The 21418-nt window shown below is 50.9% G+C and overlaps 1 protein-coding gene across 7 annotated transcripts; it reads right to left on the bottom strand.

The window, feature by feature from the left end:
• Nucleotides 1-4028: 4028 nt before the first annotated feature.
• On the bottom strand, nt 4029-21346 carry AQP7B (aquaporin 7B). Of its 7 annotated transcripts, NM_001382497.1 has the most exons (8): nt 21248-21346; nt 20110-20160; nt 13784-13913; nt 6042-6165; nt 5483-5620; nt 5156-5274; nt 4728-4945; nt 4029-4369 (listed from the first exon to the last, which is right to left on the bottom strand). In NM_001382497.1, exons 2-8 carry the CDS (start codon nt 20133-20135, stop codon nt 4084-4086), a joined length of 1041 nt encoding a protein of 346 aa, NP_001369426.1. In that variant the 5' UTR covers nt 20136-20160; nt 21248-21346; the 3' UTR covers nt 4029-4083. The 7 variants fall into 7 exon arrangements, with proteins under 7 accessions (NP_001369426.1, XP_006712950.1, XP_005277022.1 ...); XM_006712887.4 differs by lacking the exon at nt 21248-21346 and having other exon boundaries at nt 20110-20326; XM_005276965.6 differs by lacking the exons at nt 5156-5274; nt 5483-5620; nt 6042-6165.
• Between the last annotated feature and the right edge of the window lie 72 nt (nt 21347-21418).

Raw genomic sequence — 21418 nt, 5'->3', positions numbered from 1 at the left:
CAAAAACTAAATAGACTTCTGCCTCCTAAATAAAATATGTCTCCCACCATGGAAATGTCAAGCTAGGGTCACAATTCAAGTAATGTAAATATGGATCTAATGACTTCCAAGATGCTTTTCCAACTTAAAGTATTAGACAAGTACCTTTTAAAACAGTATACCATTTGAATTACCTGTAACCATTTTAATATTTCTGAGAGGGTTTTTTTTGTGTGTGCTCCCTCTGTCATCACATGGAGAGTTATTTTGCCTTTTAGGGTAAAATATAAAAACAAATGCACGTCACAATATGATGCGGCAAACGTCACCCAGAAGCCTTAGTGATGTTGTTGCGATGGTATTAGCATGCACAGAGTATGCAACTCGCAGCTCTGCTGTGTGCGCTTGTTCTTTTGCTTTCTCTCATGTGTTCTGCTCCACATATTTTAAGAGAGTTTAATGTGGGTGTTCCAATTCAATCCCATTAGAGTGCTATGTATATTATTGTTACTAAACCTTGCCTTCATAATCATTCCTAATTATGTGGTCTATTGGAAAGCAATCATTTATATCTTTAGGAGGATGAATGGGAAGTCACAGATCTAGAACAATAATCAACTTGAACTCATGCTGCTAGCCCAGGTATGGATTTTTAATATAATCTCAGGCAGGGAAGTGCTTGCAGGCATGTTTTCTCAGTCAACAGTTGAGAGCATATGCACGATGGCGGACACAAGGTAACTAGCCTTTGGCTGGTTGAAAGATGTAGTCATTATAAAGCTGGATTTTAAACCAAATGTAGTGCTGGCTGCTGTCTGGACTTACCTAAAACATACACTATATTTTAAAAAGAAGGCTGAGAGTCACAGAAGTAAAACAAATAAATTCCAAAGTTGGTGTTTTACATTATCATTTATCTGCAATAAGTGATAATTGATATTCCAAAAATATACTTTGCTTTGAATTCAAATTGTTTATTTTGAACAATTAGTGAGTTCATCTCTGCACATGCCTAAAGAAGATAAATCAATAAATAAAAGAATAAAAATTAAAACTCTATATAATAAACACTTGATTTCTTAGTCCTGATTTCTCTTTTATTATGAAGACCAGAAGCAGAATGTTATTCTATTTTACCTAAAAATATATATATTATCTTTAGAAACTCCTTGTCAGCAATCATCTACATGTATGTGTGCGTGTGTGTGTGTATATATATATATATCTCATACAAACAATATGTATCACATTTTTATGTTAACAAGCACAATCATATAATAAACCCACAAATGTCCAACTCCAAAACTAGGAAATTATTAATAGCTTGTACTACTCCTGTGTTCTTCCCATCTGCCTGTAGGAATTATTTCTTTTTCTAAAATAGTTTTCTTACATACATATATATAGCAAAGAATGTATTTTTGCTTATTTTTCAGCTACAAGACTGTGTCACACTGTATATAGTCTACTGTATTACTTTTTTTTTTTTTGAGAAACAGTCTCACTCTGTCACCCAGGCTGGAGTGCAGTGGCACAATCTCCATTCATTGCAACCTCCGCCTCCCAGGTTCAAGGGATTCTCTCCTGCCTCAGTCTTTTGAGCAGCTGGGATTACAGGTGCCCAACTACACCAGGCTTTTTTTTTTTTTTTTTATGACCGAGTCTTGCTCTGTCACCAGGCTGGAATGCAGTGATGCGATCTTGGCTCACTGCAACCTCCGCCTCCCAGGTTCAAGCAGTTCTCCCGCCTCAACCTCCCGAATAGCTGGGACTACAGTTGTGTGCCATAACACCCAGCTAATTATTGTATTTTTAGTAGAGACAGGGTTTCACCATGTTGGCCAGGATGGTCTCGATCTCTTGACCTCGTGATCCACCCACCTTGGCCTCCCAAAGTGCTGGGATTACAGGTGTGAACCACCACGCCCAGCTACTGTATTACTTTTTATGCCTCCAGAATTTTTCTGTGTTGTTGCAGGTGTCTGTTGTGCCTTAATTTTTGCTATTGTAGAGGATTCTACTATGTGCAATTGCACAGCAGTGTATGTATCTGTTCCCCTGTGGATGGACATTTGGGTTGTGTCCAGTGTCTCTTGACCACCTACCTTGTGCCGTGCCCCCGACCCTCCTGTCATTACTCCACACTCTAGCTACATCCACAAAGCCATGACTTCACAAAACCCTGTCTTCCACTTCTGAGCTCCAGACCATATAAAAGGCATAACTGTGTTTATTGAGCACTTACTCTGAGCTAGAAACGATTCTCAACATTTTACATGTGGTAGCGCACTTAATATTCACAGCAACACAAATGGGAAGTAATATTCTTATCATCATTTTACAAATGAGAAGACCAAGGCCCAGAAGAGTTGAATATCTTGCTCAAGATCACACACCTTTTTCCACCCCCCATTCCAAGTCCCATAGGCAACTCAGACTCAGCACATCCATGATGTAACTTATCATCTTTCTCTCCAAACCATTTCCTCACTTGTGCCCTACTCTCAGTGGGGACATCTCTAATCCCCAGGCCCAAGCTGGAAACTGGAAGCCATTTCTGACTCCTCCCTCTCCCTCACCCACTCCATCCAAATGGAACCCAAGTCCTGTACATTGTACTTCTCGGGTATTGATCAATCCCGGCCCTCGTCTCCACGCCCATGGTGCTGACCCATTGTTAGGTGCCTGGCTGCTGCTCCTGGGTCATCACTTCCCAGCACTCTCTTTGCAGGCCCATCTCCACCATTTCCAGCATCCTACACACTGTGGCTCAGGTGTGCTTTCTAAACCTCACCTTACCATGTCCCCACCTCCAGAACGAAGCCCAGCCTCCTCTGCCCATCCCCTCAAACTGTAAAGTGCAGCTCCCAGCCCCAAAAAGGACACCCCCCACCACAATACCCTGCTCTGTCTCCTCCTCTGGGAAGCCTCCTGGCCTTGGCTCAGAGGCTGGATGTGAGCTCTCCCACCCCAAGCCCCACTGCCTCCAAGCCTCCCACTCTGCACTCACCTTCTTCCTTATAATTACCTGTCGCCCATTAAACTGCAGCCCTCAAAGGCAGAGCCCAGTGCATCCACTGCGCATCCCCAGTGTCCAGACAGGGCCTGCACACAGTAGGTGCACAATAATTGTTGAAAGGCAAAATGCATGAGCAATGACAGGAACCATGGGTGATGCTGCCTTCTGAGCCCCAGGCAATAGAGTGTTTCCTGCCTGGCCCCAGGGTCAGTGGATCCTGGCCCCCCACCCCACCCAACCTCTGCAGCTGCTTCCCTGGAGCCCTTGGAGGCCTATGAGGCCTCTTCCTGTGTCTTCATGTGTTCGAAGGATTTCCCTCTTTGCATCTTCCTTTCCTATTCCTTCATGTGGGAGCACTCTGGCACCAGGAAGAAGAAAGAGGAGCCCAACCCCTTACCAGCCTTCAATCTATAACAAGCATTCTCAATGGAATTAAAACTGATTCTTAAAAGGGGAGGTGAAAAAAAATCTTACTCTTTTTTACGTATAAAGCACAGAACATATACAGAACATAAACAGATATATAGTATATCTGTGGTATTAAAATTTCATGTGATTAAGAAAAAAAAAATCTAGAAGAATACTAGGGAAGGCACTAATGAAAAAAGGCTAAAAAATTCTGATCTACCTTCTTGGGCCTTGCCTTGTCTGGTCCAAGAACCGGCCAGAACTCGGGGAAGGGAAGAACCAGGGGAGAGTCTAGAGTCCAATCTCAGGATCCCCTCAAATTATTTCCAAAGCCAGCCCCCCACCAGTCAGCTACGGTCCTTTCACCAAAACCGCCCTTCCTTCCCCCTTGCCTGAAAATCCCTCATTCTGTTTCTGTCATTCTTTCATCTCACCTTGTTCCTACTGAGGGCGCAGGTCAGCTCTTCCCCATTCTCCCCCTGGGGCACCCCAGTTCCCAGGGCATGAAAGACTTGAGGCACCTCACCTCTACACCTTGGGCTAAGACATAGCCCTAGAGCTCCTGGAAGAACCCAGGAGGGAAGCCCAACCACAGGAGGCCCCCAGGAAGTGGGGGTACTGCTGTGGGACAAGCTTTGCTTTATTGGGGAAGGGATGGGATCACAAATAATCTCTGCTTAGAAGTGCTCTAGGGCCATGGATTCATGTAAGGGTGGGGCAGAGTGGACTGAAGATCTGTTGGCAAGGCTCACGGAGATGAGGGTGAGGGGAGAGATCATGGGTTCATGAGATCCCATCTTGGGCAATACGGTTATCCCGTGGTCTTCATACGCCACAGAGTCCTCCAATTTCAGGGGCTCCCGTGGGATGGTGGAGCCAATGAAGACCAGGTAGATGATGCCACCTAGAGAGGCACCCAGAAGTGGTGCCACCACTGGCACCCACCACCAGTTCTCCCCATCGCTGCAGGCAAGAGGCAGAGGCCTGCTGAGGGGGCTGATGCCCAGGACAGCACCCTCATCCACCTTGGGCGAAGACTGGTTGAGCAGAGGAGTCATCCCCAGGCTACCCCAGGAAACACCCCCAACCCAGGGCCCTGGTCAGCCTCAGCCCGATTCAGGGACAGGGTTGATACTCAGTGCAGGTGCAGGATCTGTATCTGTACTGGCCTGGGGAAATGTTGGGACTCACTCCTGCTCCCCAGGCCACCTGGGGGCTCTGCAGGACCCTCCTGTGCTGCCCCTCACATCACCCCCCACCCCTCAACACACAGGAGCTCCACAGAAAAACTCAAAGGAATGGGCCTGGGCAGGGGCAGTACCTGAAGACCTGTTTGCCCCAGCCAGCAATGAAGGTGAAGATGCTGGGGGGCGGGTCCCGGGATGGATTGATGGCATATCCTGTGTTTATGCCATGGGACACCCTGATGATGACCACGAGGATGCTTATCACCAGCGCGTGTGTTCCTGGCAGTGCTGGGTTGTTCTCCTGGTCCGTGATGGTGAAGAGACACAGCTGGAGCATCCTGGTCAGCCACTCCTGAGGAGCAGATGCTGTGGCAGCTCACCTGGGCCCCTCCCCAAGCCACAGGACATCGGCAGTGGCCCAGACCCAAGCCCACCAGCAGAGAGACGTCTCAGTACAGTCTCCATCCAGAGTTCTTGTCCTGTCTATCTGGAGGGACTCCCTGCTGGCTCTGTCCTGAGGGGTGGAGGGCAGGGGGAGGGGTACTCATCCTGGACCACTGACCTCATTCAGGAAGCCCCGCCACAATGTCATGTGATCAGGAAGGTAGGTGGCAAAAATGCCAGCTGTAGCAAAGGGACCGGTCACCATCAGCTCTCCACCCGAAAAGTGGAGAATGGCCGCTGCGGAGACACAGACTATCATGCGAACCTGCCCCCAACTAAGCCCCACTGGGGTCCCAGAAATGAGGTTATAGGTTAGAGGGTGGGGGAGCTCCAAGGCTTTTTTCTCCCAGCTATTTTTTACAAATCAGGACACTGAGGTCCAATCTGCCCATATTTCATAGGAGGCGGCTGAGGCCAGAGGTGGACACCCAGGCAGCACACTTGCTGTAGAAGAGACTGTAGATGGTGGCAGCTGCCAGGAAGGAGCCCAGGAACTGCCCCAGCACATGGACTGGAAACTTCCTCCAGGGCACGCGGCCCAGCGCACAGTTAGTGAAGGTCACAGCTGCATTCATGTGGGCTCCTGCGGGCAGCAGGCAAGTGTGTCAGGGAGTGAGAGCAGAACAAACAACAGTGACAAACAGTATGAGAACAACGATGGCTAGTGTGTATGACAGCATGCTCTGTGACAGAGCTCTCTCCTTGAGCCCTCACAACCACCCCGTGAGGCAGGGGCCACCTTCACTCTTAAGGAAACTGAGGAACACAGAAGGCGATGGCTTGCCTAAGATGACCCAGCCAGTGAAAATGGTAGGTCAGGGGGGCCCAGAAAGAATCTGGGGCAGACAAGTCATAGGCACGGGGTTCAGAGGAGACTTCCTCCTGCCCGGTGGCCAGGCTGAGGCACTGGCTGTGCTGGGAAAGGAGCTGGCTGAGGTGGGCAGGAAAGAGCCTGTTGGGGACACCTGGTCTTGCCCAGTCTGGTAGGCCCTGGGCTCACTCACCAGAGATGCGGCCTGCCACGTGGACTCCCATGGTGACCCCGAAGCCAAAACCCAAGTTGACACCAAGGTAGCTCCCATATGTTTTATTTAGAACCATATGGGCCACAGAACCAAGGCCGAATACCTACAAGGGAGGGCCTCTAAGGGGGCTGCCTGCCCAGAAGCCCCAACCTCAGAGGAGGGCTCAGAGCTCAGTTCTAGCTCCTCACCCCCATGCCCTGGGCCTCCCTGGCATTGCCTGGAAGACCCTCTGCCACGCCCTCTTCCTCCAGAGCCTTCCCTCCTCACTGCCTCCTCTCCTTGCCCCTGCTGAGGCCTCTCAGTCCTGAGCCACTGAGAGCCGGGTGGAGCAGCAGAGTTAGAAGCTCTTACGACAAACATCCAAGCACCTCAGCCCCAGGCCCACCTGAAGTTTTGGGGTGAGGCAGGGCTGCAAGGAGGGGATGGCTGGCATGCATTGCACCCCCTCAGAGTCCCTCACACTTCAGGCTGACCTGAAGGAAGTTTCTTCAAGGGACCTCCAAATCCATCCACACCTGACTCTGCCAGGAACCCTTCCCTGCACACACACACACACACACACACACACACACACACTCCGCCGCAATTCCCACAATGCTGGAACAGTGGGGCCCTAACTGTCTTGCCCTCAGCTTCATTTCCACTGACCTCAGGCGGCATTCCCAAGCTGTTGCTGCCCATCCCTCACGGCTCCTCAGATAATGCCGCCTTCACAGGGGAAGGGGCCTACCTTCAGGCCCATTACCCTCAGTCTAGAGCCACTGTTCCCTTCAGTCCTGGCTCCTGTGCTATCCTCTCCCTCTGCAGAGGCCTCCGTCTCCCCCATACCTTCCATTCTCCCATTGATCAGCTCCCACACACTGGAGTCTCATCCTTCCCAGCAAACTGTCCCACCCCTGCCCAGCGTCCTTCTCCAGCTGTGGGTTCCTGGTTGCCCCCTCCCTGTTTCAGTCATGCTGCAGGAGAGAACACACTGGCCAGCTGCTTCACCCCTTCCCTCGCACCCCCTCCTCAATCTGGCTTCCACTTCCACATGTCACAGACACCAAAGCTCTCTCCAAGGGCTCCAGCAACCTCCTGATTTTCCAAAGGTCTTTTCAGGCATGGTTTTACCACGTAGACAGTTTCAGCTATGCCTGATGCGCTAAAATTCCCGTCACCTCTGTGGGGGAGCCAGATGCCTATTTGCAAATCCCCATTGGAACTCTCCTGGTGTTCCGTGGGCGTCTCAGGCTCTGTTGAAGGTTTGCCATCTCACAGCACACCTGCTCCTCACTCTATGTTCCCCATCCCCGTTGGCCGAGCCAGAAACTCAGATGTTGCAAATGATAGTTAAGCACTATTATTCTCCCCTACTTGACAGATGGGTAATCTGAAGCTTAGAGAACTTGAATGGCTTGTCCAAGGTCACACAGCCTGTACATGGTGAGCCAGGATTAAATCCAGGCAGTTACCTGTGCCAGATGGCCTCAAACCAAACGACTGCGCTGCTCCATGCATGCCTTGCTTTCTTGTGCCTCTGTTTTATTTGTTTGTTTGTTTGATGCTTGAGATAGGGTTTTGCTCTATCACCCAGGCTGGAGTGCAGTGCCATGATCAGGGCTCATTGCAGCCTCCATCTCCTTGGCTCAAGTGATCCTCCCACCTCAGCCTCTCAAGTAGTTGGGACTATGGGCATGTGCCTCGGCACGCAGCCAATTTTTTTTTTTTTTTTTTTTGAGACAGTCTTGCTCTGTTGCCCAAGCCGGAGTGCAATGGTGCAATCTCGGCTCACCGCAACCTCCAACTCCCGGGTTCAAGTGATTCTCCTGCCTTAGCCTCCCGAGTAGTTGAGATTGTAGGTGCACGCCACCATGCCCAACTATTTTTTTGTATTTTTAGTAGAGACAGGGTTTCACGATGTTGGCCAGACTGGTCTCAAACACCTGACCTCATATGATCAGCCTGCCTTGGCCTCCCAAAGTGCTGGGATTACAGGCATGAGCCATTGAGCCCTATCCCAGCTAATTTTTTCAATTTATTTTGTGTAGAGATGAGGTTTCACTATGTTGCCCGGGCTGGTCTTGAGCTCCTGGCCTTAAGCAATCCTCTCACCTCAGCCTCCCAGAGTGCTGGGATTACAGGTGTGAGCCACCATGCCTGGCCAGAATATCCTAATAATTTTACATTGACTGCATCTTGAAATAGGATTTTGGATATATGGGTTAATTATTAAAATTAATTTCACCTGTTGCTTTTTACCTTTTTAATGTGGATACTAGAAAAATTTAAATTATACAGATGGTTTGCATTGTATTTCCCCTGGAGAACTCTGTTCTAGAGTTGATAAAGGAAAAAACCTGAAGAATTGTAGACATAAGGGCCGAAGTCAAAGCCGTCAGAGGAGAAGGCCCCAGGAGAGGGTACAGGGTAAGAAGGCAGACCAGGCTGGGTGCGGTGGCTCATGCCTGTAATCCCAGCACTTTGGGAGGCCGAGGTGGATGGATCACTTTAGGTCAGGAGTTCAAGACCAGCATGACAAAACCCCGTCTCTACTAATAATACAAAAATTAGCCAGGCGTGGTGGTGCTTGCCTGTAATCCCAGCTACTCAGGAGGCTGAGACAGGAGAATTGCTTGAACCCAGGAGGCGGAGCTTGCAGTGATCCGAGATCACGCCACTGCACTCCAGCCTGGGCGACAGAGCAAGACTCCATCTCAAAAAAAAGAAAAAAAAAAGAAAAAAAAAAGAGTTGAAAGGCACCAGTGTAGACTCCTCTTCGAGAACTTGCCTGAGGAGCGGGGAAGAGAGAACATGATCCCGTGAAGGGGCTGACAGGGTGAAGGGAGGGATGTTTCATTTTGTGTTGTTTTCAGTGGAGAAACTTCAGTATGTTTATACGCTGAGAGAGGGACGGGCTGAAGATAAAGGACAGAGAAAAAGGACAGAGTAAAGTACCTGAATAGGCTGGACAGCTGGATTGGTGCAGAAGTGGAGGGGTCCTCCAGGAAGGAGAGGACCCCGCCCCAGCCAAGGGGTGATATGTGGATACACGGGTGGTTAATGGGTCTGGTGGCAAGAGGGACAAGAGGGTGAGCTGAACATATGAAGTGTTGATTATTTTACCTATCAAGCAGCAGATCAAGCCATTTGCTGATTTAAAAAAAAAAAGTCAGAGTACAGAGCAGCTTTGGGGATGTCTGAGAAAATGTGAAATAGCCCAGATATGGTGGGGGAGAGGCAGCTGAGCAGGGCCCACTGGGTCCCTCAGAAGCCCCAGGACAGAAGCAGGGGAGCCCAGAGCTGGGCTGGCTTTGGATCCAGGATAAGATACAGCAGGAGAGGACAGGAACAGATGGGGGTGCCGGGGGGAGTGAGGTCAGGACAGGTTGACAGGCTAGCAGGGTCAAGAGGTAGAGGGACTGGAGGAGGCATGGAGGGTCTGAAAACAGAGGGGCCCCCATGGCCTTTCCCGCATTCCAATACCATGTGCTAAAAATACTGGATGAGCATAGGCCAGGTGTGTTGGCTCACGCCTGTAATCCCAGCACTTTGGGAGACCGAGGCAGGCCAATCATGAGGTCAGGAGTTCGAGACCTGCCTAGCCAACATGGTGAAACCCCGTCTCTACTAAAGATACAAAAAATTAGCCAGGTGTGGTGGCACATGCCTGTAATCCCAGCTACTCGGGAGGCTGAGGCAGGAGAATCACTTGAACCTGGGAGGCAGAGCAGTGAGCTGAGATCACACCACTGCACTCCAGCCTGGGCAACAGGGTCAGACTCTGTCTCAAAATAAATAAATAAATAAAATAAAATACTGGGTGAGTGAATGAACCCCACATGATTCCCTGTGTCAGGGCTGCCAACTGGCAACTCATGCACGTAATTCATCCAGGGCACAGGTTTTGTTTAGATAACTTGGTTTTGAAGAACAGAAGTTTCCGTCTCTCTTGAAAAATGAGCAGCTCAGGCAACACTGGCCTGCATTCCACCCTCCATGACAACAGTCAGCTGGAGTGGCGGCAGCTATACAGCTTTGCACAGATTGGCACTCTGCAGCCAGCCAAAGTCCCCACCGCCCAGAGTTGCTGCTCTCTTGGCCCCCATAGCATGTGATCTACAACCCTTGCCCCGTGTCTCACGTGTATGGCTGGTTTTCCAGGGCCCGGATGGCTCCAGCCCCTCCTCTCCCTGATCAGTGAATGTGGCCCAGCCCATCCAACTCTCCCCCACAGCCAGGAGGCCAGCTCCAAGGGCAACACCCCTGGAAGCTGCAACACGGATCAATCCACTTCCCTCGTCCTGGCTGCAATAAATGGGGCCAAGGTCACACTAGCTTTTTTGGCAAAACCTTCACCCTGGTGACTCACTGAGATTCCTATATATATATTTTTAAAAAAAAGCCCTCACTTCTTGGCACAGCCTGGCAACTAAAAATAACAACAACACAATATCCGATATAGGCTTACACCTCACAAAGTTCTTTTACAAGTGCTACTGTCTTCAATCCTCACAACAAATCTGCACAGCAAGAATTTTTCTCCCACTCTATAAATGGGGAAACTGAGGCTGAGAGAGGCAACTTGAACTACCTGAAAGTGAGGACCTTACCCTGGCTGGGGGAGCATTAACAAGCCAGTCTTTAAAAGCTGTCAATATTTAAGCTAAGGTACAGAGCATAGAGGTTAAGGGTCAAGACTGTGATATTGGGCTGGGCACGGTGACTCATGCCTGTAATCCCAGCACTTTGGGAGGCCGAGGTGGGAGGATCACTTGAAGTCAGGAGTTCAAGACCAGCCTTGACAACATGGTGAAACCTTGTATTTCCTAAAAATACAAAAATTGGCTGGGCATGGTGGCATGCACCTGTAATTCCAGCTACTCCAGAGGCTGAGATGCAAGAATCGCTTGAACCCGGGAGGTGGAGGTTGCAGTGAGCCGAGATTGCACCACTGCGACAAAGGAAGACTGTATCTCAAAAAAAAAACAAAAAAAAAAAAACAAAAAAGACTGTGATATTAGACTGCACTGGATTTAATCTTGACTTAAAGTGTGACCTTGGGCAAAAGGCTTAGTCTCAAGGAGCCTCAGTTTTCCCATCTGTGAAACTTGGATAATAATAGTACCTACTTCACAGGGCTATTGCATGGATTTGGGAAGATGCTGCACATAAGGGGCTTAGCATCACAGAGCCCGGGATGCATTAGGTGCTCAATGAAAATCTCAACAAAAGGAAGAGAAACACAGATGTGGGCAGGTATCAAGCATGTGGGCAGTGCCTATTTCCCTAACAGCTCTCAGAGGATGCACCCTCCTGCTTCTGAGGTTCCAAGGGTTAACAGCCCTCATGGGGCTGGAATGTCTTGTGGTAAGTGAATTACTTTGCCCTGGATTAAGGAGGGACAGGATCCAACTGCTGTCCTCACAGCTCAGGAGCCAAAGCAGGTGGGGAGGTAAGAGAGGAGTAGGGGAGGGCCAGAGGCAGAGAGGAGACAGCAGCTAGAGCACCCGTCCTAATAACAAGGGAGCAATACATGGGTACCACACTGGGTGCTGAGACTTGGCCTTCTTCACACAAGTCCTCCTGTTAACCAATAAGGAAGCTAAAGTTGTGGGCCAGGCGAGGTGACTCACGCCAGCAATCCCAGCACTTTGGGAGGCCGAGGCAGGAAGGTCACCTGAATTCGGGAGTTCGAGACCAGTCTGGCCAACACGGTGAAACCCCATCTCTACTAAAAATAGAAAAATTAGCTGAGCACAGTGGCACGTGCCTGTAGTCCCAGCTACTCAAGAGGCTGAGGCAAGAGAGTCACTTGAGTATGGGAGGTGGGGGCTGCAGTGAGCTGAGATCGTACCACTGCAATCCATCCTAGGAGACAGAGTGAGACCCTGTCTCAAAAACAAGAAAGCTAAATTTGTGAACAGTTAAGATACTTGTGGATAGTCGCACAGCTAGAAGATAACAGAGCTAGGATTCAAACACAGCTCCAAAGCCCACGAAGGTCTAATTCTACACAATATAAGTGAGAAGTCAGGCTTTAAGCCAGGGAGAGACCTGCCCAAGGCCAACTGGTCACTCAGTGGCAGGGTCAGGCTAAGAACCCTGGTGTTCCGATTTCCTCTCTCCCTTGAGCTCCATGGGCCCCACCACACACACAAACAGCCTCTGTCACCCCACCTTCCTCTAGCCATGCACCTGGCTGCCTTTGCCTCCCTTCCCAGAGGCTGCCCCTTCTTTTTCTAGACCCTGGACCCTGCATAAGATGCAATAAACATGGCTACAGTCATGTTAAGGGCAGAGGCTCACTGGGGTAAGTGGCAGGGCTGAAGCAGGTGGAGAGGGAGCAACCTCACATCCTGCCTGCAGTCTGGATACTGTCCCAATCACACACTAAAGAAGAACCCTTGTCAAGGTTACCAGCAACCTCCACGTTGCCAAACCCTAAGGCCTCTTGCCAGTGCTCACCTTGCGTGGCCCATCTGCCGCTGCCCATGCCGCTGACGGCTTCTTCCTGGTGGAACCACTGCCCCCCTCTGTCATGCAGTCAGCTCTGGTTCTCCTCACACCTCTCTGACCGTTCCTTCTCAGGCTCCTTTGCATGCCCCTCTTCATTCCTCAGGGCTCTGTCCTCAAACCATCCTTTTCTCTTTCTGTACACTCCTTCTAGAGAGTGTTGACAACCACCACCTGTGTTGTGATGAACTTCAACTTTTTCCTTCCAGACCAAGCCTCTCCTGAGCTCCAGCCCCTTGCCTGTGTTTAACTATCTCCTGGATTTCCCCACAGGCATCTTGCCTCTCACCCTGTGCTGGGCCCCGTGCTCCAGAACAGCTCATCGGCGCTTTGCCCACATCTTCTGCTGGCAGAGTCTCCCCGATTCCATCTTCCACAGCCCTCTCAAACATGTGCTTTCTTCTCCAACCCCAGATCAGTCATCACCCTCTCTCTGTCCCAGATCAAAAACAGCCTCTTAACTTGTTCCCTCTTGCCAGCCTTGCCTGTCCTGCTTATGCTCCACACTGCACCCAAAATTACCTTTAAAATCCAAATCTGATCATGTCACTCCCCTGCTTGCCAGCCTTCAACATCACCCATTGCCCTCCAGATTCATTATCAGAGCCCAATCATCAAGTTTCTCTTCAATCTCTCTCTCTTTTTTTTTCTTTTTTTTCTTTTTGAGACAGAGTTTCGCTCCTGTCACCCAGGCTGGAGTGCAATGGTGTGATCTCAGCTCACTGCAACCTCCACCTCCTGGGCTCAAGTGATTCTCCTGCCTCAGCCTCCTGAATAACTGAGATTACAGGAGTCCGCCACCATGCCCAGCTAATTTTTGTATTTTTAGTAGAGATGGGGTTTCACCATGTTGGCCAGGCTGGTTTCGAACTCCTGACTTCAGGTGATCCACCTGCCTAAGCCTCCCAAAGTGCTGGAATTACAGGCATGAGCCATTGCACCTGGGCCTCTTCAATATCTTTACTCTGGGTTTCCCTTCTCCCCATTTCCAGCCGTGCCCCGGATACCCCAGTGCATGGTTTCATTTGACCCCCACATATTATGAGCCCTTTCTGTCCAAAAAGACTTGATGAGAAAGCCCCCACTCCTTACTTTCCTCACTGCTTCCCCAGGCTCCCAGCTCAGAGGCAAGGAATGGACAATGTGACCCATGGGGTCAGCATGGGGAGGGGGTCATGGACAGCCCTGGTGGAGCCCCACCCACTTCGTGCTGCCCACCCACTCACCATCATGACATATGTGCTCATGAACTCGGCCAAGAACTCTCGCACCATCTTCCTCTCATCTTCCTCGCACCATATTTCCTGGATCTTTGCTATCACGGACCAGGAGACCATTTTGGAGCCACGGGTGGACCTGAGACAGTGGCCCGAGCCCAGGGACAGAAAGGAGACTCAAGTTTGCCTGCTGCCCATCGGCTCTTCAACTCACAGCTGAGTTAATAGGTAACCCAGCAGCCTCGCCACACACGCCTCCTCTTGCCCGGGGCAGCTGGGACAGCTGGAATTGGAGACACTTGAGAGCCATGGGGACATGGAGAGGAACTGGGGTAGATGGCCAGGCCATGCCCCTTCTAGTTGGGACTAGACCAGTAAAAATGGCACACCAATGAGGCCACTTTGCAGACGGGCAAGTGGGGAGCTGAAAGTGCAATCCACGGTGCCAACAAGCCTCTGGGAAAAAGCAGGGTGGGAGAGAGCAGGCTGGAAAGTAGAGCTCAGTTGTCTATGTCTGTCCATCTGTCTGTCTGCCTATCTGCTAGAGCCAGAACTTTGGGGTCACAGGCCAGGGCCTGGCAACAGTGAGGCACTCTACAAACAGCATGAGGTGTGACAAAGTCTGCTGCCGAGCTCTGTAAACAGCACTGAGTGCTGAAACATGTGCCAGGTTCTGTCAAAAATGAAGGGGTCAGCAAAATGCATGAGGCTGTGCAACCAGGTCAGTGCAAACAGAGGTTTGTGAGAGAGTGAGTGAATGAATGAATGACCAAGAGAGAGGGAGGGAGAAAAGGAAGGACTGGATCTACTTCCTGGTGTATCTTCAGTGCCCAGCACCATGCCAGGCACATAGTAGATGTGAATAAATATTTGTTGAATGAGTGAAAACTGGGGAATCTGTCTTACTCTCAACTAGATCCTCAGAGCTTCCCAAAGGGCCTGGCACTTGATTTATATTTAGTTAAGTGCATGGTTAGATGGAAAGGTAGATGAAACAGGTGAGTAACAGGGCCCAAATCTGCATATAGGGAGACGTATAGGACTGGAGTTTGGGGAAGGTGGCGGGGTGGGACTGGAGGATAAAGAGGAAGAAGAGGGGCTGGGCCCGGTAGCTCACGCCTATAATCCCAGCACTTTGGGAGGCCAAGGTGGGCAGATCACCTGAGGTTGGGAGTTCGAGACCAGCCTGAACAACATAGAGAAACTCCATCTCTACTAAAAAATACAAAATTAGCCAGGCGTGGTGGCACATGCCTGTAATCCCAGCTACTTCGGAGGCTGAGGCAGGAGAATCACTTGAACATGGGAGATGGAGGTTGCAGTGAGCCGAGATCTTGCCACTGCACTCCAGCCTGGGCAACAAGAGCGAGACTCCATCTCAAAAAAAAAAAAAAAAAAAAAAGAGGAAGAGGAGGGATACAGATACCTCTAAGTGTGGCCTTAGTCACTCTGCTATCTCACTGTCTGCATGCCCGGAAGCTGACACCAGCCCCTCAACTCCTCTGGCCAGCCCATCCTTGCACATCACGTACTGCCTTAGCTGCAGGCCTTTGCACATGCCAGTCCTACACCGAGAATGGTCTCCTGCCTCCCCAGAGGCTCCTTTACCCGCCAGCCTTCTTTTCTTGACCTAAATTTCCCTTTCTCTGGGAGAGCCTCCTACCCTCTCCTCTAGGCCATTCACTTCTTCCACATGCCCCATGGTGCCCACTCTTTCAGCTGGGGCAATGCTCATCACAATGCATAGTAATTGCTCAGTTAGGCCAGGCACAGTGGCTCACGCCTGTAATCCCAGCACTTGCCGAGGCGAGCTGATCGCTTGAGCCCAGGAGTTCAAGACCAGCCTGGGCAGTATGACAAAACCTCATCTCTACGAAAAAAAAATACAAAAATTAGTCAGGTGTTGTGGTGTATGCCTGTGGTTCCAGCTAATGGGGAGGCTGATGTGAGAGGATTGCCTGAGCCCAGAAGGCAGAGGTTGCAGTGAGCTGAGATCACACCACTGCACTCCAGCGTGGGTGACAGAGCGAAACCCTGTCTCAAAAAAAAAAAAAAAAAAAAAAAAAAAAAGCTTAATTAATTAACAGTTTTTCTTCCTAAGGGCTGGGATCATACCAGTTTGCTTCACTGCAGTGCCTGAACATAGTAAGCATAGTAGATTCAATAAATCTTTGGTTCCTTGGCTGGTTGTTGCCTGCTCTGTGCTGATGAGAAAGGAGCCAGGCTTCCAGGATTCCCTTGGTGTTCTTGGCTCCCTGCTCTGTCTACCTCTCCCCTGCCTCTATGGTACCTTCCCAGGACTGTCTTTGGGCTGCTGCTTGCATTGGTAGGGTCTCTTCTTCAGGGCTGAGGAGGCTGGTCATGGGATAATGAGATCCCTATACGATGCTGCATGGGAGCTGGAGTTGGATGGGGGCCAGTGGAATATCCACGCAACTCTGCATCCCCCTCAATCTACTCATCCCTGGTTTTGTTTCTCTGGGGTAAGGAATACAGCAAGGACTGGGATGGGTGAGCTATGAACAGAGGGTCTCAGCTGAAAAGTGGAAGATGTTTTGTTCCATGCCTGGACGTCTCTCATTCCCTCTGCTTACTTTTTGCTGCTGCGAGGTCAGGGGAATTTAGGAGCCCTGAGGAATGCTGCTGCTCTCCCTAGCAGGGCGAGGTGACCCTCCACTGGCTCCCATCCAACCCCACCTCCCATGCTGGAGGTAACCACAGAAGAGGAGAGAGAAGTGGACAGAGCAGAAAGACAAGAACACCAAGAGAGTCCTGGAAGCCTGGCTCCTTCCTCATCACCACACAGCAGGCAAGACACAGTAAGCAACAGATAACCACCAACCAGCCAATGAACTCAAGATTTCTTGAATCCACTATGCCTAGAATGTTCAGTCACTGCAGTAAAGGACACTGGTACAATCCAGCCCGTGGGAAGAAAAGCAATCAATTGAGCAATTACTATGCAGTGTGATGAGCATTGCCCCAGCTGAAAGAGTGGGCACTGTGGGGCATGTGGAGGAAGTGAATGGCCTAGAGGAGGGGGTAGGAGGCTCCCAGAGAAAGAGAAATTTAGGTCAAGAAAAGAAGGCTGGAGGGTAAAGGAGCCTCCAGGGAGGCAGGGATCACTCTGGGCGTAGGACTGACATGTGCAAAGGCCTGCAACTAAGGCAGTATCCAATGTGCAGGAATGGGCTGGCCACGGAGGAGTGGAGGTGGCATGAGATGGGCAGAGAGGGGCCAGAGCCAGGTGGCAGAAGGCCTCATGGCCCACATTAGGGAGTCTGAACTCTACCAGAGGGCCATGGGCCAAGTGGAGGATTTCAGCAGGAGAGCTGCCTCCCCTGCGGAGGCCAGGATGGAGGAAGTGGAGTGGAGGCAGGGTGAGCATCAGCTTCTCCACAGATGGGTGGAGAAGTGGTGGCAGCCTGAGCCACAGAGATGGCAGTGCCAATGGCCACAAGAGCACAGTCAAGCTGACAGGCTTGGTGTTCGGTTAGAGAGGGAAGGGAGCGGGGCAGCTCAGCGATGCCCTCAGGTCCTGGCTAGGGCAGCGGAATGACTAGCGTGGGGCACAGCAGAGAAGCTGTGGGAGAATGGACAAGGAGGCCCTTTCTGGACATGTTGAGTGTGAGGAGCCCGCTAGACACTTGGGTGGGATGGCCAGTGAGGAGGCAGCTGGTCATGTGGTCTCACTTACAGACACATTTGGAGGACAGCAAATCACAGATTGTCATCTGAGCCATGGGCATAGATGAGAGAGCTCAAGGAGAGGGTACAGACTAAGAAGAGGGGCCCAAGAAAGCCAGCCTACAAAGCAAGAAACTGACAGCCAACCAGATCCCCTAAGTAATCTGCTAACCAAGGAACTAAATAGCTAACAACTCACTAACGCCTGTTTCTTTTCTTTTTCTTTCTTTTTTTTTTTTTTTTTTTTTTTTGAGACAGGGTCTCACTCTGTCACCCAGGCTGAAGTGCAGTGGCACAGTCAAAGCTCACTGAAGCCTAGACTTCCCAGGGTTCAAGTGATCCTCCCACCTCAGCCTCCCAAGTAGTTGGGACTACAGGAGCATGCCACCATGACCGGCTATTTTTTCTTATTTTTTGTAGAGATGGGGTTTTGCCATGTTACCCAAGCTGGTCCCAAACTCCTGGACTCAAGCAATCCTCCAGCCTCAGCCTCCCAAGGTGCAGGGATTTCAGGCGTGAGCCACCATGCCCGGTGGCTTACTAACCCTTTGACTAACCTATCAAAAACCAACTAACTGATTCTCCTGTTAACCAGCTATTAACTCATTGAATTATCTAATCAACCAGTCAACCATAAACTATCCAACTAACCACGAGCCAACAATTCAACCTGCTAACCAACATTTCTTCATTCAACAAACATTTGTTGGCCAGGCATGGTGACTCATGCCTGTAATCCCAACACTTTAGGAGGCCGAGGCAGGTGGATCACTTGAGGTCAGGAGTTCAAGACCAGCCTGGCCAACATGGCAGAACCCCATTTCCACTAAAAATAAAAAAAAAAAATTAGCTGGGCGTGGTGGTAGGTGCCTGTAATCCCAGCTGGGGTGGGGGCTGAGACGTGAGAATCACTTGAGCCCAAGAAGCAGAAGTTGCAGTGAGCCGAGATCATGCCACTGCACTTCAGCATGGGCAACAGAACAAGACTCCATCTCAAAAAAAGAAAAAATTTTTGTTGAGCACCTACTTATGAGTCAAGCACCAGGGATACAAAGTCAAAACCCACTCTCCACTCTTGGGTCACTCTGTTTAATAGAAGAGATGGGTAATGGCAACACCACCAGAGAGAAGCAGCCTGGGACTGGGGGAGCTCAGGGGAGGCATGGGAGGTGAGGACTGAAGGGAGTTTTGAAGAATGGGCGGGTGGTGGCCTGACATGGCCATGGGGGAGTAGGGTGGTGGTAGAAAGAATGGTGGAAGCTGTGCACATTCTAGATATTTTAGGAGATTGGTGACTGGATGTGAGGCATGGGGGAGAGGGAAGTATCAAGGACATGACCTTGACTTCTGGCTTGAGCAACTGAAGAGAAGGGGACCCCTGACTGAGCCAAGAGCACAGGAGGAGTGGACTTGTGGGGGGCGGAGGAGGCTGTTTCCATCTAGGAGCTGAGTTGCCTGTGAGACACCAGTGGGTCTCTAGAAACAGGATCTAAAGCCCTGGAAAGAGACGTAGGCTAGAGGCAATGATGTCAACAGAGGGGCACTATTCATTCTCTCCGTCCAAGTATACAACAGGCAAATATCCCTGCTTGTGTGGAGCTGACAGCAATGAAATGTAATAAGTAAGTTCATTTGTATAAGCGAAGGTACCAGCTCCTATGGAAAAAAACAGAGCAAGGAGAGGGGAATTGGGAGTGCAGGGGCTGGAGATGGGGTGTGATTTCAAATAGGGCAGTCAGAGTAATCCTTGTTGAGAAGGTGGCCTTGGAGCAAAGCCATGAAGATGAGAGTGGGCTGTATGTTAACTGCAGAAAGCCTCTCAGATGGAGGGAATAGTCACCAGAGGACTCTCAGCTTGTTTGAAGAAAGCAAAGAAAGTCAGTGTGAGGCCAGGTGCAGTGGCTCACACCTGTAATCCCAACCTTTTGGGAGGCCGAGGCGGGTGGATCACCTGAGGTCAGGAGTTCAAGAACAGCCTGGCGAACATGGCGAAACCCCATTTCTACTAAAAATACAAAAAAAAAAAAACAACAACTAATTAGCTGGGCATGGTAGTGTGTGCCTGTAATCCTGTAATCCCAGCTACTCAGGAGGCTAAGGCAAGAGAATCACTTGAACCCAGGAGAAGGAGGTTGCAGTGACCCAAGATCGTGCTATTGCACTCCAGCCTGGGTGACAGAACTGAATTCCATCTCAAAAAAAAAAAAAAAAAGAAAAAAAAACAGAAAAGAAACTCAGTGTGGCTGGAGGAGGGAGAGCAGGGGGCTGGAGTGGGGAGGTCAGAAAGCTAACAAGGACTACATAGGCAGGGCCTTGGCCATTGCAAGGACTGGCTCTTTTTCACCCCAAAGACAGCTGAGCCTGAGAGGGTGAGAGGTGCTGAGTGCAGTTGAGTTGAAGGCCACCTGCATGCCTTGACCCTCATCCAAGTATTTCTGAGCCTCCCCTCACCCCAGGACCCAGCCCAGGCAACAGGTGGAAGATGCTTTTCTTCTGGGACCTCAGAGGTGAGTGGGTGGGTGGGGAGGAGGAGGTCAAGGGGGGACAGCTGCCCCAAGGGAGAGGCTGAGGATGGAGCAGGGAGGGCACTGAAGTGGGCTGGGTGGAGGACAGGGGGCTGGAGGGTGAGAAGAGGGTGGGGTACTTACCGCCTGTGCCCAGATGCTTGAACCATGTTTTGTCCTTCAGATTTGTAGATGCTGAGGAGCCAAAGAGAGGTCACTAGGGCTGGAGGACACAGAACTTGGCCCCACACTTCCATCAGACCTTGGTCCCCAGGGGAGAAGCCCTGGGGCAGCTCCTGCTAGTGCCACTCCCTTAGCCCAGCCAAGCAACAGGGAGGGAGGAGTGGTGCTCAGCCAATGAGGTGACGTCCTGGAGCCCCACCCCACCCATGCTGGCCCCAGGACCCCAACCCCAGGCCAGACCCTCCAGTGCTCCTCCTGACCTTCCCTGTCTGCAGCCCAGCTTTGGACTGTGGAGATGCCCTCAGCCTCTACTCAGTGGCTCCAGCCTCATATTTGCGTGCTACACCTTTAACCTCAATCCCTCTTGCTGCTAACTTAAGCTGCGACTGTCCAGGACCTGCACACACACATACATGCACACATGCACACACACACACACACACACAGAAGGTGAACACACAGGATGAGGCCCTGAAAACTCATTTCACCCGTGTACCTCACCCAAAAATTCCCCTTTGTACTCCTATCTTTATCTCTGACAGCATGAAGGTAGCCCGAAGTCCCCTCACCCTGTCTGTCCTCCTGATTATCTAGCCCAGTTCCCTCTAGCTCCAGCACAGACTCTTATCTCCAGCCCTGACTGCTGAAACCCTCCAGCCCCAGCTCCAGCCCCTCAGGAGGGGACTGCATGGGAGGAATGACTCCAGCAAGCCGGCAGCTGACCCGTCTCCTGCCTGCACGCCTCCCCCTGTGGTCCACTGCTGGTGGTCTTCAGCTCTCTCTTCGTCCCACCCCCATGGTCTGCTGATAGTCCAGCCCAGTGCATCCCTGCCATCTCTGCTCTACTGCTGGTCCTCCCAACAACCAACTTACAGGTAAGGAAACTGAGGCCCAGAGAGAAGGTGTATGTGCCTGTGTCACACAGCAACACAGGACTGCACCATAACAAGAAAGCCGGGACTTCCACTCCCAGCCAGGGCTCCTTCCCCAAACAATCCCTCAGTCACCTCCTCACTGTATGGTACCCAGGGAATGGCCCTTCCAGATCTGGGCACTGAGGAGGCTGCCCCATCCCCACCCTGCCTGGAGCCCCACTCACTCTCCTGAAATGTCTTCTGATTCTCAGCCTCTGCCTTGGGGGCTTCTCAGTTAAAGCGCATCTTGATCTTCTTCCTCCGTGACTGTCCCTGGCTCAGCTTCCACCCCCAGCTGGGGCTCAGCTATCCCTGTGTCCCCAGTCCAGAGCCTGCCTCTCAGCCCTCCCAGGGCG

The sequence above is a fragment of the Homo sapiens genome, chromosome 2, assembly GCF_000001405.40.
Source record: "Homo sapiens chromosome 2, GRCh38.p14 Primary Assembly".
NCBI classification, from domain to species: domain Eukaryota; kingdom Metazoa; phylum Chordata; class Mammalia; order Primates; family Hominidae; genus Homo; species Homo sapiens.
Note: the sequence above shows the minus strand (reverse complement) of the source record. Positions and strands in the feature narration are given on the sequence as shown.